Raw genomic sequence first — 16,325 nt, forward strand, 5'->3', positions numbered from 1 at the left:
AAATAAAATAAAAAACAAAAAAAAATCAAAGACAAACAAAAAAACCCTTGACTCTTACAGAGCTAAGTAATTTGCCCAATGTCACAGACGTTACCATTGGCTCAGGTGGGATTCAGACCCAATATTTTCTGATTCTAGGCTGGGCCCTAAATAGTACACCCATATACATCATGCTATGTTATGTCACTTTTTCTTAAACCAGAGTGTCTCAGAATATTGGAAGTATTTCTTAAATGAGAATTATCACCAAGAGGAAAGTGGGGGGGATCAGAATGCCTACCATGTCAGTATGTGTGGGGCAGTGTGAGGCAAACGTTTTATGTGCTGACGGTGGTGAAAAAGAATAGCTCTGGCTGAGTGTAGTGGCTCACGCCTGTAATCCCAGCACTTTGGGAGGCCGAGGTGGGCGGATCACCTGAGGTTGGGAGTTCGAGACCAGCCTGGCCAACATGGTGAAAGCCCATCTCTACCAAAAATACAAAAATTAGCCGGGTGTGGTGGTGCATGCCTGTAATCCCAGCTACTCAGGAGGCTGAGGCAGGAGAATCGCTTGAACTCGGGAGGCGGAGGTTACAGTGAGCCGAGATCGCCCCACTGCACTCCAGCCTGGGCGACAGAGTAAGACTCTGTCAAAAAAAAAAAAAAAAAAATAGCTCTAAACAGAAGGTCTATGTTTTTCACTACTGAGTACCTTGATTCTGGTGAGGTGCTTGGACACAGTGAATGGTCTATTGTTATTTCAACTATTGAGTAATTTTCCCAATTATTCTTTCTTTTCCTTCTCTTTTGGCAGATATGCACAAGGAGAAGAGGAAATAATTTCAGACTTGCTAGGTTTTTCTAAGAGTTTCATGCTATATAGCTTTATATACTCTAAATAGATATTTAAATATATGGGCAATCATTAGTTACATGATAGCTAAAAAGAAAATTCCTGTTTCAGGGATATTGGTTTCTCATGTTCAGTGGAGAAAATCCCCAGTAATTTTTAGACCGGATTGCAGAGGAAAGCAAGACTAGTTCTTTGAAACTTCATTGACCCCAATACATACCTGTCCTTGAGAAGTATGATTAAATTCAAAATGACTATTTTTGATCCCGCTTCCAGGAATTCACTATTCCTCATCTGTCCTCATCCTTCACTCACTACTTAGCCTCTATGAGTCATCCGGATAGGGATCTTGTCAGGAATTACTAATGAGAGATCTTGAAATGCCTCATAAATGCCTGCCATCATTACTGAGACAGGCTCAGGCCCTCTGTTTTGCTCTGGGAAATCTTACCAAGTCCTGGAATGGATAATTAGACTTCAGCCCTCATACCAAGGGACCACCCATGACAACATGTGTGTGTGAGTTCACACACCTGTGTACACATGTATAATGAGGGTGGGGTGGAGGAGCCTGTAGGAGTTCAAGGGCTGGTTTCTCTGCACTGGAAAATACAAAACACTTTCAAGTATATGCAATAGTAATATAGTTTTGTGCTTAAAACTGCTTAGGCCTGGCATGATGGCTCACGCCTGTAATTCCAGCAATTTGGAAGGGTGAGGCAGGCAGATCACTTGAGGTCAGGAGTTCAAGACCAGCCTGGCCAACATGGTGAAACCCTATCTCTACTAAAAAATACAAAAATTAGCCAGATGTTGTGGCAGATGCCTGTAATCCCAGCTACACGGGAGGCTAAGGCAGGAGGATTGCTTGAACCCGGGAGGTGAAGGTTGCAGTGAGCTGAGATCATGCCACTGCACTCCATCCTGGGCGACAGAGCAAGACTCCATCTCAAAAAAACAAACACAACAAACTTTGCCTAAACTGGGGCGTGAGTACTAGATCCACTTTCCGTTGCGGAAACCTGGAGGACTTACTTGCCGCATTTGTTAAATGGACAGTGTTGGTTCCAACCTCACGGTAAAGTTCAAGCTTCATGGAAACAGGAGTAGTAACAATAGCCAATTTCACGGGGCTCCTGTGAGAACACTGCAAATAAAATTCCTACCACAGTAAAGTGCCCAGCAAATATGACCTTGTAGCATTACTGTATTGCATGCCTTGGTTTTTTCAAAGTCCATAGAAGGGAGGCAATTTAGATGTCTCTGACTCAAGAAACTGTATACTTGAATAAAGCCAAAGGAAGATTAGCAATGAAATGCTGGTGAATTCAAATCCCAGCTCAGCCACTGAGCAGCTAGAAAAACCAGGGACAATTTACTTGTCTCTCTCTCAGCCTTAGTTTCCTCTTCTCAAAAGTGGCGATCAGGACGGGTGCAGTGGCTCACACCTGTAATCCCAGCACTTTGGGAGGCCAAGGCAGGCGGATCACCTGAGGTCAGAGTTCGAGACCAACCTGGCCAACATGGCAAACTCCTGTCTCTACTAAAAATACAAAAATTAGCTGGGCATGGTGGTGGGTGCCTGTAATTCCAGCTGCTTGGTAGGCTGAAGCAGGAGAATCACTTGAACCTGGGAGGTCGAGGTTGCAGTGAGCCGAGATAGCGCCACTGCACTCTAGTCTGGGCGACAGAGTGAGACTCCATCTCAAAAAAAAAAAAAAAATGGTGATCATGGTAGTAGTTCCCACTCCATAGGGTTTTTCTGAGGATGACAAAGCACTGAAAGTCCCTAGCACATGTGCTCACTGTTAATGTCATTAAGAACTACAGGAACTGGGCTGTCAAATAATTAAGGTCATAATCTTTATTACATGTGTCTTGGAGTTCTTTGCCCAATTAGACAAACCTTCTTGAAATTATAGGCATTGTTTTTTTGTCTTTGTTTTTGTTTCTCCTAAAGCAGATGACACAGTGCTGTTTATGTTGGCCAGCACCCAATAAGCAAATAATGGGAAATTGATTATTGATTATTTCCTCATTCCCAAGTGAAAAGGAGAAAGGTTAGTATCAATGTATTCTTTGTTTTCTGAGGAAATCGTTGGGAATCCTGGAGGGCTTTATGTGTGGGTCATATAGAAAATAGTTCTGTATGACAAAAACGATAGTTTTGGTCTCAAAAGCTTGGGCTGAAACCATGGCTCCACCACTCATTAGCTGTGTGATCTTGGGCAAGTTATTTAACTTCTCTGAGTCTAGTTTCCTTAATGGTAAAATTGGAGTTTACTATACCTGTGTCTCAGGAAGGTCAAGATAAATACTAAAAATATTAGACAAAACACGATTGTCTTCACTAAAATCTGTTTGGCCTCTGTACTTGCTTGATAATTTCTGAGTAGAATTCAGTCATGTTGGTAAATTAAAGTTATATCACAGGTATGGAAAAATGGACCTTAAGTGCTTTAAAATGCAGTTCCGGGTGGGGCGGGGTGGGGGGAACTTTTCAACAGATTTATCACTGAAAGAGCTGCTTTATTGCAAAGGAGATGAGAAATACAGTATGCACACTCAATCATTCCACCATTACTACAAATTATAACTTATTAAGGAACTACTATGTGTGTGGCAGACATTGTATTGTCTCCACCCACACAATAGCGCTGTAAGGTAGGTTTTGTTATTTTCCATTTTATAATGACAAAACCTCACTTTCTTACAGAGTTTAAGCCAGACCTGGGTTGAATCTGCCCTGTTACATATTACCATTGTTTCCTTGTCCTCATCTATAAAATAGAAATCATAACAGTGTCTCTCACATATTATTATAGTATTATAATTATAATAATATTATATAGTTACTGCCCTGTAACTTAAAGTCTAGCTTGCTTCAAGATGCCAGCTTCCTGAGGACAGGAAGACTGTCTGTCTTACCCTCTGCTGTATTCCTAGCACCTATAGCTATGCCCAGATCAGTTTAGGTATACCCAAGAAATGTTTGTCAAATAATACTATTGCAAAAATAACAGCGATTAAGTGCCTTACTTGTTGTAACTGTACTTGTTCAATTGAGTCTATCTTTCTGTTAAACTTAGCTCCTGGTAAAAAGGTGTGTCTAGTTGCAAATCTTATATATAAAGAAACATTTTCTTTTGTTTTTTTCCTATTTTCAAAATATCTAGTAAAATAGAGATCTGTGTGAGACAGATGTGCACTCTTTAACAGGTTATCTCCACATGAAAACAGAGAATTTATTAAATGAATTAATATGTGTAAAATATTTGGGAAGATATAGATGTAGTATAACTACTGATTTAAGAGTCAAGTGAAGCCAGCTAATGAAAAAATCCATTGATTTTTTTAAATGTTCCAATGGTGCCATACATGTTTCATAATTCAGTTTTAAAATTACATCATCACATAGATACCTATTTTATCCTTTCTTGCATGATATGACTTGGCTAATACCATCAGAGTGAAAATTGGGGAAATTCCATGACAGGATTATTATTGTTGATTAATTTGGACCCAAAGTATAGTTTGCTCTGCTCCTATATGTCAAAATCCTGCCTCCACATACCATCTTATTGGTGTTGACTTGGACAGCATTCTGCAGCATGATTGAGCTTAGGATGCATTTTTGCCAGAGCTTTAATATGAACCAACAAGCATACACCTTGATAGGAAATTGGCACCTAAAGGCACCTGGTGGAAAGTACCTCTGTGGTTAGATGAGTAAACTCCAGCAGTGAATAGGGATATCCGGTTTTTTGTTTATGAACATAAAGTGGCAAACAAAACAATTACAAGCCAAGAAAAGTCTGGAAGTGTCCTTTCATCTTTGAGAAAAAAAAAATCAGTTAGCAGAGTACTTACGCAGTCTTTGTGCAGTAGCAATTGCCAAACACCCCTCACAATCCAGATTTTATTACTTGATTTTTCACCAACAGAGAACAGCGATGTAACCTCCTTCTGATTTTTGTGCCATATGAAACAGTGGTGTTTACAGTATTGAGGAGGAAGTTTCTCAGAGTTCAGTCCTATTGCAGCTTGCATGGAATAATTTGGGATCTTACTTGTTTATGTGAATATTCACAGATTCCTTTAGAATAATGGGACTTTCCATTGAAAAAAATGTAATGTGAATTTCCAGTGATTTATTGATTTGTTTTATACTCTGTCCAGTTAGAATTCTTTGGAAGTGGAATCAGTCCAGAGACGGTTATTGAGCATCTACTATGTGCCAGGCACCATTCCTAGCACTAGGGATACAGTGATGGGCAAAGCAGACCAGGCACCTAGCTTTTTGGAGCTCAAATTCTACTGGGGAAGACAGATCACACACATGTAAACAAAGAAATAGTATAATTTCAGATAGGCATAAAACTAACATTTGAGCTCAGACTTAAATTGCGGGAAATGGTCAGCTTCACTAACGCCTGGAGGAAAAGAGGCAGGGGGCCTCTCTCAGCATCTTGAGCTCAAGGTGTAAAGAGAACCACGAAGAGAATAGCACACAGGATGCTGATCAGATGCATAAATATATTTAATATTTATTCTAAAGACAAAGAGGTCATATTCCCTACTCCCATCTCTAAATCTAATTATCAAATGGCTCCTGGTTGGCATGCTTTCATATTGCAGAGGTGTTTTATTTTTTCAAGATCATTTTGTTTAGTGGCACAGGTGTGAAAGTTAAGAGTCTAAATAGACATGAAGCTCTTAAAATAAGAAATAAACTGAATAACGTCATTAGGATTACCTTCTTTATTTCCACCAGTTCACAGGTGCAACAAGGTTCTATGGGCTAAGCATAAGAAGAATGTAAATGTTGGTCAATTTCTCAAACACTGCAGATTACATTTAGAAGTTATTTGAAGGCCATTTGATCAGCCAAACACAGCACAGACACCCTTGAGCACCTGCAAGGTTAGAAGCACATGGCTAGCCTCTGTTCTTGTCCCTGAGGAATCTACTTGCTCTCAAATCATGTGTTTAAAATGAAACAGAGCTGGAGTCTGTGTGATGAACTTCCTTGGGTTTTACCTGCCCAGCAACCAAGATCTTGTCTTCTGATTGCTGAGTGGTTCACATAGGCTAATCTCACCCTACAAGGCAAAGCCCATGATTTAGGACCAATCCACACATTCCTTCCTCTTGGCTAAAGTTGAGTGCATCCACCTGGGATGAACTCATGTTCCAGGTTAGTCAGATCAGAGTGAATGTGGAGACTTTTGCTGGAGCAACTAGGAAACAGAAGACTCTTTCCCCTGGGAAGGTTACTTGAGGCCCTTGATTTGCTGGGGCCACCAAGTAGAGAAGGCTGGCCTCACGGCAAAGCCAGCACAAAGGAGAGCAAAACTAAAAGAGGAGATGGAGGACAGGGAAGAGAAGGGAATGTCAGATCCTCATGCCATCGTTCAGGGCCATTCATCCATCTCTGGATTTCCTGTACATGAGCCAACAAATTCCTCATGTTGCTTATTCCACTTTGATCTGAGTTTCTCCTCTTGCGATTTGAAGAATACTGACTGATATAGTCATTCTAACCTATATATTGCTATTTGGATTTTATTTATTTTTAATGATAAGAAACATCATCCGGGACTAGGAAAGGGTATAATCTTTCTGGCCTCAAGCAATTTAATGGAGCATAATTATGCATGGACCTAGCTAGAGATCCCAGTCCTGAAATCAACAGTATTTTATTTCTTTATTTTTGTTCATTTTACATAGATGTTCTATCCAGTATGCTTTTCAAAAATATATTTAATTGTTGGTTTGGAGGCATAATGTGGTGGCTACACACGTGGGCTCCAGATTAGGTTGCCACCTTCATTTTTTCACTTTTCAGCTGTGTGAGCCTCTCTGAAGATTCTTTTTTAAATTGGGGGAAGCAATATTTACCTCGTAGCGTTATTGTAAGGATTAAGTAGGATAATATAAGTCAGTTACTTAGCACAGTGCTGGCAGAGGGTAGGCTCTTATTTAAATTAGCTCTTATTATTATTCAATTGATAATATATGGCCCATCTGATGTCACGTGCTTTAATCTGGTATTATTTGTGTTTATCACATATGCTTCCTTCACAAATCAACCACAAGCTATCTGTTACTTTGTCTTTCCCTTTAGGTATCTCTATTGGAGATGAACGCATGTTCAATACACGTGGCCTGCCTGAGTCATTAGCAAAGTGTCCAACAACTCTGAGGTACTGAAAAATGAAATGACTAGTTAATGTAGATTGAGAGTCCACATGCCAGTCACATCTCGTCTCACTTAAATCTCCCACCAAACTTCTAAAAAAGATGCAGCCGAGATCATGAAACTCAGGAGGACACCAAGTCACACAGCACTCAGTTGTGATTTGAACCCCCGGGGATCCCTGACTCCTGAGCCATCACCCTTGTTCACATTGAGACTGCCTGTATCCCTGCCTTTCCACAAAGAATATTCATAACTTGTAGGGCTTAAAATGCGCGCCCATGACTTGGATATGAAAAAGAATAACTATTTTCTATGACTGGCTTCATCTGGCTGTGTAACCCCTATTCCTGTTGTGCCACCCTTGGGTAAATACCTTGGAGTAGAATAGCTGGCTCCTCTTGTGGTTGGGTGTTTAGCTGTTTAAGAAACTCTTGAGCTGTTTCCCAATGTGATTGTACCTTTTCACATTCCTACCAGCAGCATAGGAAAGTTCTGATCCCTCTACATCCTCCCCAACACTCCTTGTGATCTTCTAAATTTTAGCCATTCTATTAGGTGCAGAGTTCTATTTATTGAGTCAGTTTTTATGTTGTGATTTTTCAGGAAATCTGTCCATTTTTTTCTAAGACATTGAATCATTGACATATAATTGCTTATCATATGTCTTTATTATCTTTTTAATGTCTGTTAAAGCTGTAATTATATCCCCTCTGTTATTCCTGATATTGTTTTTGTTTGTATGTGTTTCTCTTTTCTTTTTTTCTTTCATTAGTCTTACCTTGGGTTTATCTATTATAGTCATCTTTTCAAAGATCCGACTTTATGAAATTTCTCTTTGTTTACTATTTCATAGATTTTTGCTATGATATTTATTACTTCACTTGTTCATTCTGTTTTGCTCTTAAGCTCCCAATATCTGGACACTGTTATGGATATCTTATCTTGTATGGTTATTGATTTCCAATTTAATTCCAGTGTAACTGGAGAACATACTCTTAAAGCTTTTAATCTTTTAAAATATATTGAGACTTATTTTTTCGATCCAGCACTTAGTTTATCTGGGGGAATATGCCACTGAGCACTGAAAATGAAAATGTATTTTGCAGTTGTTGAGTGTAGTGTTCTACAATTATCAACTGGGTTGTTTTCCATTTATTCCTTCTGTTGTTGTTGGTACTACTGCTGTTAGAATATTGCTCTATTCTTGCCTTTTTGGAGGGGGTTAATCAAATCTTTAAGCATTCCATTTTATTTATTTGATTGTCTTCTTTGCTATAACTCTTATTTGTTTATTTTTGGTTGTCTAGGGCAAATAATTTGCATTCAGAATGTATCAAAGTCCATTTAGAGTCAAAAGATGTCATGGCCTTCAACAGTACAATTCTAGTTATGCATCCCATTTTTTTGTGTGTTCTTGTTATTATATCCTTTACTTCTACTTACGTTATAGATTCCAGCTTACAATGCTGTGAATTTTGCTTTAGTCCTTTTAAGAAAATTACAGGAATTACAGGAAGCATAACTTTTTATGTTTAGCCATTTATTGAACCTTTCTGGTGCTGCTCCCTCCCACTGAAGATCCACTTGATCTTTCTTTCAGCCAGAAGAACATCTGTTAGCCTTTCTGGGACTCTCGTCTGCTTTTTCACTTAATCCAGCAGTTTGGGAACAGCATCAGGCCTCTTGTTTTGTTTCCAGTTGCATCCTCTTAACAGCACGCTCTAAGGGTGCTTTATCCAATATTGTAAAAGGAAACTAAAGCAAGATTTGTTTTGAGGATTGCTTGGTGCCCCTTTAAAAAAATTAGACACCAACCCAGGAAAAGAGTTGGAAAAAAGTACCCCAAAATTTTCCCATTTACCTAGGCTGTCTTTAAGACCAATATCAGTCACCAGCAATTACCTTTTGTTCCCAGACAGGAAAATTGAATGACTGCATCAACGCTAAAAAGCTTGGATTGAATCAGACACTTTCCTCAGAAGTGAAAAATGCCTGACCACAAGCCCTAGTTAATTTAAGGCCACTTAGATGGCGACTCCAGGAGAATTCCAACTCAGTGCCCCAAGATTTCTCAGGGACTTGGATTTCTCCCTAACCTACTGGAAAAGAATTTGTCATCAGCAAAGCTCTTCCGTAGAGAAACTTGAGATAAAATGGGTCTTTCAACAGGGCTGTGATTGTGTGAAGGGATATAAACTGGCAAGAATTGTGCTCCTCATTCTTGATGGAAGGTTAACATGATTAGGATCTCCAGAAGTCTCATATAGCAAGATTAAATTCTATTTTGCATACTGAAGTCTCAGATACTCAAATTTCCACTAGCATGTTAGATTCTCAGTGTGCTCCCTTTATGTGGGAAATCTGTAACAACCACAAGGCACACTCAATCCTTCCTCAGGCATAGGCACACCCAGACCCACCCACATGCGCACACACCCATACGTCCACACGTGCACCCAGGCACCCGTGCTGCATGCCCTCACATGCACAGCCCCACATGCAAGCACACCTCCATGCAACTTTCCTCACCAACACGAACATGCACCCACATTACACACCCATATCTATTCCCCCACATGCACCTCTTCCCACAGACACATCTTCCACACATGCATGCCCCCCGCACTTGTGATTTAATGGCACATATGATTCAGAATGTCTGTGAAGCCATTTCCAACCTGTTTTTGTAATAACCTGTGCTTCTCAGTCCAAAAGATAGTGGAACGTATGTTTCCAGGAAAATATGAAACAGGAATTTCTCAATCTCCTAGCAGCATCCCCACCCTGCTGTACTAATATTAGTCCATGTTGCCAATAGCAGCAGCCCATGTCAGACTGGCTGCCTCTCCTCCCCACCTAATCCCCACTTTTCTTGTTTGTAATTGAAGAACAACCGACTGTATCTCATGCTCGGGCTGACCAATGAGTAAGCAAAAGTGTTATGCGGGGAGACAGCCTTCTAATTCTGCAGACATTATTAAAATAATCCAACACAGGTACCCGTGCAATCAATTTTCAGTTTCTAGGATGAGAGATATGTCACCTTGCCTTCAAAAGGCCAAACCTGGCTCGCTTCATTGGCTCCCTTCTCAATGTCTGATACAGGACCCAAAAAGGTCTATGCATCCTGTGGCAAGAAGGTGGCATCCTCACAATCTGGGACCTGACTCTGGTGAAAAGTGTTGTTTAGGGAACAGATGCTTGATCTTTTTACTTTCGCTGCTCGCCACCCTTTAAGAGGAAAATCTTCCCCAAATCTCTCTTCAAATCAAATGCCGGATGTCAATGGTTCTAAACTAAAGCTGAGCCCCTAGAATCACCTGGGCAGTGTTTTGTTTTATTAATGCTGATTTCTAGCCCCTACCTGAGACCTACTCCATGAGACTGTCTGGAGTCTCTATGAGCCAGAATTTGGTTAAAGTTACCTGGGAAATCGAGGGGAAGCCAGGTTTGGGAATCACTGGCCAATATGGTGATGCCTGTCTAGAGCCTGGACTTCACAACCCAGTGATGTCAACCACACTTATTCCACCCATCGTGCCTCGAGATGTGGGTCCACGTGCAGGGGGGGCCTCTGTGCATGGTGGTCAGAGAGCTCGCCATCCCTCTTTGTGTGCTCTTACCCAGCTCTCCAGGCAGTCAAGGGCTAAAGGGAGAGGTAGGTGGGAGCTCCCTTGAGCAGAGGGGCCTTTGTAGGGTGATGGAGGCTCAAGAGGGAATTTCCTGCCCTGTTCTGGAGCTTGGGCCCCCAGTCCTGCCTGAAGTCCCAGGGTCCACAGTGGCACAGATAGAGACAGCTTTCCGGACCTTGGAGAAGAATCTCAGTAATAACCGGGGGCAGGGCGGGGTGCTAATTACCAAAGGACACTCACTCCCTACAGAGTTCTCCTCCCGAACACAACTTGATGGAAGGTAAACACCCACACAGGACATTTAAATAATGCCCAAGCCGGAATGCGTTGATAACCAGTGGCGTGGACATTCGGCAGCTTTCCATTTCCAGAACATACTCGACTGTGGAGAAAAGACGATGGTAGCTACCTGAGGGCCTTAGCATTTGAGCCCTGGTAGGTGAGGGAATCTGTCAGAGTGAATAATAAACTCAGTACTCCCAAAGACCACAGCCTCCCTTAATGGTGTACTCCATAAACCCTCCTGATTTTTTTGCAAGAATTCCACTTGCTCTCTAGTTCTGCTACTTACATTTTCCATAGGTAGTGGTTAAGACCAGAATGAGAGAAACCTGCTTTTAAGGTATGAGACTGGGCAAGTGAGCCCATCTTTCTTAGACACAATTTTGGCTTCTGTGAAATGGCTGTACTTACTTCATAGAATTGCTTCAGGAATTAAATAAGATCATGAATATAAAGCATGAATATACAGCATCAATAAATATTGGCACATAAATATCAGTAAATTACTAATGGTAAATTACTAAAAATTAAATTAACTGAAGCCAGAGAAAAGGGAATTCCTTAGTTTCATAAGAAATGTTTATGGTAGATGTTTTGAGAAGGTTAATTTGTGGTGGAAATTTTGGCCAGGTGGCATTTTTATATGTATAATTTTATACCATAATTATATGTATATGTCTTTAGAACCCTCCATCATGAGAGAAGAAGAGAAGATTACTTTTGTGTGTGTGTGTGTGTGTGTGTGTGTGTGTGACAGAGTCTCACTCTGTTGCCGAGGCTGGAGTGCAGTGGTGCAATCTCGGCTCACTGCAGCCTCTGCCTCCCGGGTTCAAGTGATTCTCGTGCCTCAGCCTCCCGAGTAGCTGGGATTACAGGCGTGCGCCACAAAGCCTAGCTAATTTTTATATTTTTAGTAGAGACAGGGTTTCACTATGTTGGCCAGGCTGTTCTTGAACTCCTTGCCTCATGCAGTCCTCCCGCCTCGGCTTCCCAAAGTGCTGGGATTACAGGCGTGAGCCACCGCGCCCAGCCTAAAAGATTACTGAAGGGAATATTTATATAATATCTTGAAAAGCATGCACCTAGAAGCAACTTCCAAGGGTCACAGCCACCTGGTTAGCTTTAGAGAAAAAAGTGCCTAAGGTGTTACATTTTCAAGGATGTTTGAAGAATGTGAGTGGAATTTTCTATGCAGTTTCACAGGGAGAGCAATTATTTGGGTGTCCTTCAGAATTCAACACTACATCTCTCTCAGTCCATCCTAATTTAAGGCACTTTCCCTGCTGCATAACTTCATTCATGTTAGTTCTGCTTCTAGTGGAAATGGGGAATTCATATATAATAGTATTTCTAATGTTTAGGTTTAATTTTTTAAAGTTGTGAATTTCCAAGCTCTCACCATCTCCTTAGATCTTCACAAGTCATGACATATATACCAGGTTGACCACCATTTTACAAATAAGAAAATTCTGAGAGCAGAGAATTTAAATCCTGTCTTTATTCAGCTCTTACCATAATCCCCCATTTTCCATCTTGAGTATAGTGTCTTTCCATACCTTTGTTGATTATTGAGTTTTCCTTACATTTAGATGACAAATACGACTCCAAAATACACATTTATCTTGAGTCCTTCGCTGACCAACATTTGAACCTACAGTATTTAGAGAAATCCTAAAACAGACATTTGCACTAATTCCAGAAGCTGAAGGGGCTCAAAACTCCGGGCTCTCAGCTCTCCAGTGGCTAGAGATCATGTGACTAACCTCAGCCAATCCCATGCTCTGTCTGGAGGTGTTCAGTGTGCAAAGAAACATTGCAGACTTCAGATACATTTGGTGGCAGCAGCCACAGAATTCAGCGTCCAATGCCAGCAGTCTGTTATTGCTTGTAATAGTGTCCATGAATATGAATCAAACCAGACTTTCCCTTTGGTATAATTTTGGCCACAGTTTGGCTGCCTAATTTCCCTAGATGCCTGCTTATTTATTCAGGCCTGGTTGTCCAGCCTTCTTATCAATTCTACGGACTCCCCAATATCCATCAACAAATTCCATTGCTGCATAACCACGAAAGACATCTGTTCTTCATAAACAAGAAATGCGGCCATCGCAACCACATGATAAATAAAAGAGGCGGTATTCTTCCCAGATGTTTCAGGGCATCTTCTCTTAAACCTTCAGAGGGTCCTGAGCTGCTCATTTCCGGGACTTGCTGAGCCCTGACAGTAAACAGACTTTTAACAAAGACTCGCTAAATGTTCAGATTTTTTTTTTTTAAATTAATAAGAGAATGGTCCATTTTCTTTTCAAATCTTAACACAGAGCTGGCAGGATGTCCCCCATAGAGTTCAGAGTCAGAAGTTGTTTTTGATGCGCCGACATTCCGTTTGTGATAGTCTTGCCTCTATCCGGCACTTCTTAGGCCTCATCTCCTTGGCCTGGTTTGTGCAGTGGTTAAAAGGGGTTGATTTAATCCAGACCACCTGAGTTTAAATCTAACTTTCCAGCTTTCTGGCTACACAACCTTGGGCAAATTGCTCAGTATCTCTGTGTCTGTTTCTTCATCTATAAAATATATAGATTTTGATAATACCTACATCCTAAGGCTATGAAAATGGTTAAATGAGTTAATTCATATAAAGCATGTAGAACAGTGCCTGGCTGGTAGTAAATACACTGTAAATGTCGTCTATTAACATATTATCCTCACCTCTGATGCATACTTGCTCACTTACCTTTTCTTTTCTCAAAACCACCTCTCATAAAATAATCTGAAATTCCTTATTGATCTCATTCAAAATCTGTTTCTCTCACAGGCGTATCCTCAAATGAAGCCTTGTCTCTGTGAAATTCCTGGTAAGAGAAGTTGAGGCATCAATAGTGGATCAGGAGGTATTTTTAGGGGAAGAGGAGTCTCAGTATTCATGGAACTCAATGAGACCTCCACCTACACAAGGCCAAGGCTGCATATGGATGTAGAGAAATAAAACTCAGATGTTGAAAAGTATCTGAAGAGATGATAGCAAAGGGAAATTATCTTTTATCTTTCAGATAAATCGTCATTTTATGGAATGCCACAGGAAGAAGTTTTCTTTACAAGTTCTGAAGACTTGTGATGAATGAGTCCATAGTTTCACCTTTGAAAATGTCCCTGGGAGTGTCAACCCCATCACTTTTACTTATATTACACTCATAATCAGTTCATCTCGCCAAGAAAAATAATATTATCCTCATGCCCAAACTTGTGACTTGATTTGAAAACCAGTAAATCAGAAATAAAACTTCCCATGTGTTTTTTTCCTACATGAATCCAAGTGACTCAGATATTGTGTTATTCAATAAGACTATTACCATGACTCAGGTAAAAGGGCCGTTTATATTTTCTGAAGTCTCAAGTCTAGGGTCCAAAATAAAACTAGCATCTTTTATAGAATAATTTTTCTCTAAAATGAAATGTGTATGTCACCTGGTTGTCAAAATCCTTATTTAAATCTTTAAGGAGAAAAGCAATGGTTTGGAGAGTGGACTTAAGCAATTGAATCTTGGATTCAAATCATAGCTCCAGATTGTATCAGCCTCTATAACTAAGAGCAGGTGGCATTACCTTTCCCAGTCTTGGCTTTCTTATTGGTGAAAGAAAAAAAAGAGAATATTACCAGTCTTGAAATGTTGTTGCGTGTATTCCTACTTAGCAGGGTGCCTGGCACATATATGCAGGTAATATAAGGCTCTGCTTCGCTTCTGGCCAAAACTTCCTGGCACAGGAGGACATGGTTCTCAGATGTGAGAACATGTTCTGTCTTCTGCAGGAAACCAGAAGGGGTTCTCCCTTCTTTGATTGCAGGAGGAAAGAATTCTAATGGAATCCATATGTTCTTTGGCCCCATTTAAAACTCCACACTCTGGAAAAGTAGATGGTGTCCTGGAGTGAATCCCAAAGTCAGGCCCACTGGAAAGGGTCACTGGGCTTTCTCCTGCTTCAGTGGCCTGGGATTTTAAAAGTTGGAAAAGTTTATCCATACAACTTTATTGGAAATGATTGTTTTTTATTCTATTCTTGCCCTTTTATGGTATAAAGTCTTTGCTTTTATGTTGTTAATTTTAGATTTAGGCTTCTTTGATTTCATTCACTTCCTTAACAAAGTAAAAAGTTGGCAACTCTTTGAAGTTGCTGCAACCATATTCCCAACTACAGCATCCTTCTATGAGCCTCTGCTCTCTTAATGGGTATAGCCCAAGGGCTAGAAATAGACCAATTCTTGGCCAGGCGCGGTGGCTCACGCCTGTAATCCCAGCATTTTGGGAGGCCAAGGTGGGTAGATCACGAGGTCAGGCGTTGGACACCAGCCTGACCAACATAGTGAAACCCCGTCTCTACTAAAAATACAAAAATTAGCTGGGCGTGGTGGCACATGCCTGTAATCCCAGCTACCTGGGAGGCTGAGGCAGGAGAATTGCTTCAACCTGGAAGGTGGAGGTTGCAGTGAGCTGAGACTGCGCCACTGCACTCCAGCTCCGGCAACAGTGCGAGACTCTGTCTCAGAAAAAAAAAAATAGACCAATTCTTTTTCTCTAATCAGGTAAAATGAACAAGGATATTTTATTTTAATTTTTTAAAGACAAAGTCTTGCTCTGTTGCCCAGGCTGCAGTGCAGTGGCATGATCATAGCTCACTGCAGCCTCGAACACCTGAGTTCAAGCAATTCTCCTGCCTCAGCCAACGGAGTAGCTGGGACTATAGGGGCGTGCCACCATGCTTGCTAATTTTAAAAATATATGTATTTTTGGTAGAGATGGTGTTTCCCTATGTTGCCGATGTTGGTCTTGAACTCTTGGCCTAAGCAATCCCTCCCACCTTGGCCTCCCAAAGCGCTGAGATTCCAGACGTGAGCCACCATGTTTGGCCCCAGGAAATTTATAACTAGGACAATAAATGAAGGCACAAGAGACCAATCCCAGTTGTTCTATCCTCTACTATTCTGTCAACCAACTTTCAAGAAACTAACATTCGTGACATTTATAAGATGGTGGCCTCTGCTGCATGCCAATCTTGTGAAGTACACACAGGGGCATGCCAGGTATAAGACAGTAATTACAGTCTCCAACACAGAACTTCCCGGAATGGAATCACGGCTCAAAGAATCCCACAAGGAAAGACAAGCAAGTGAGCGTGAAAAGCCAGATGTGAAAGGCAGCAGAAATGCTTCACGTGAAGTAAGTAACTTATGGAAGCTCTAGAAAAGCAGGAAGGGATTAAACATGCATTGATTACGATATGCTAAATGGGCTGGGCGTGGTGGCTCACGCCTGTAATCCCAGCACTTTGGGAGGCCAAGGCGGGCAGGTCACGAGGTCAGGAGATCGAGACCATCCTGGCT

At 41.0% G+C, this 16,325-nt stretch overlaps 1 long non-coding RNA gene across 1 annotated transcript; it reads left to right on the forward strand.

Moving 5' to 3' along the window:
* LOC105372675 (uncharacterized) lies at nt 2,698–14,256 on the forward strand. The gene is made up of 4 exons (XR_936882.4): nt 2,698–2,892; nt 6,960–7,038; nt 13,764–13,803; nt 13,999–14,256. It is a non-coding gene; the product is annotated as an uncharacterized LOC105372675 (long non-coding RNA).
* Nucleotides 14,257–16,325: the final 2,069 nt, after the last annotated feature.

The sequence above is a fragment of the Homo sapiens genome, chromosome 20, assembly GCF_000001405.40.
Source record: "Homo sapiens chromosome 20, GRCh38.p14 Primary Assembly".
In the NCBI taxonomy this organism is placed as follows: Eukaryota; Metazoa; Chordata; class Mammalia; order Primates; family Hominidae; genus Homo; species Homo sapiens.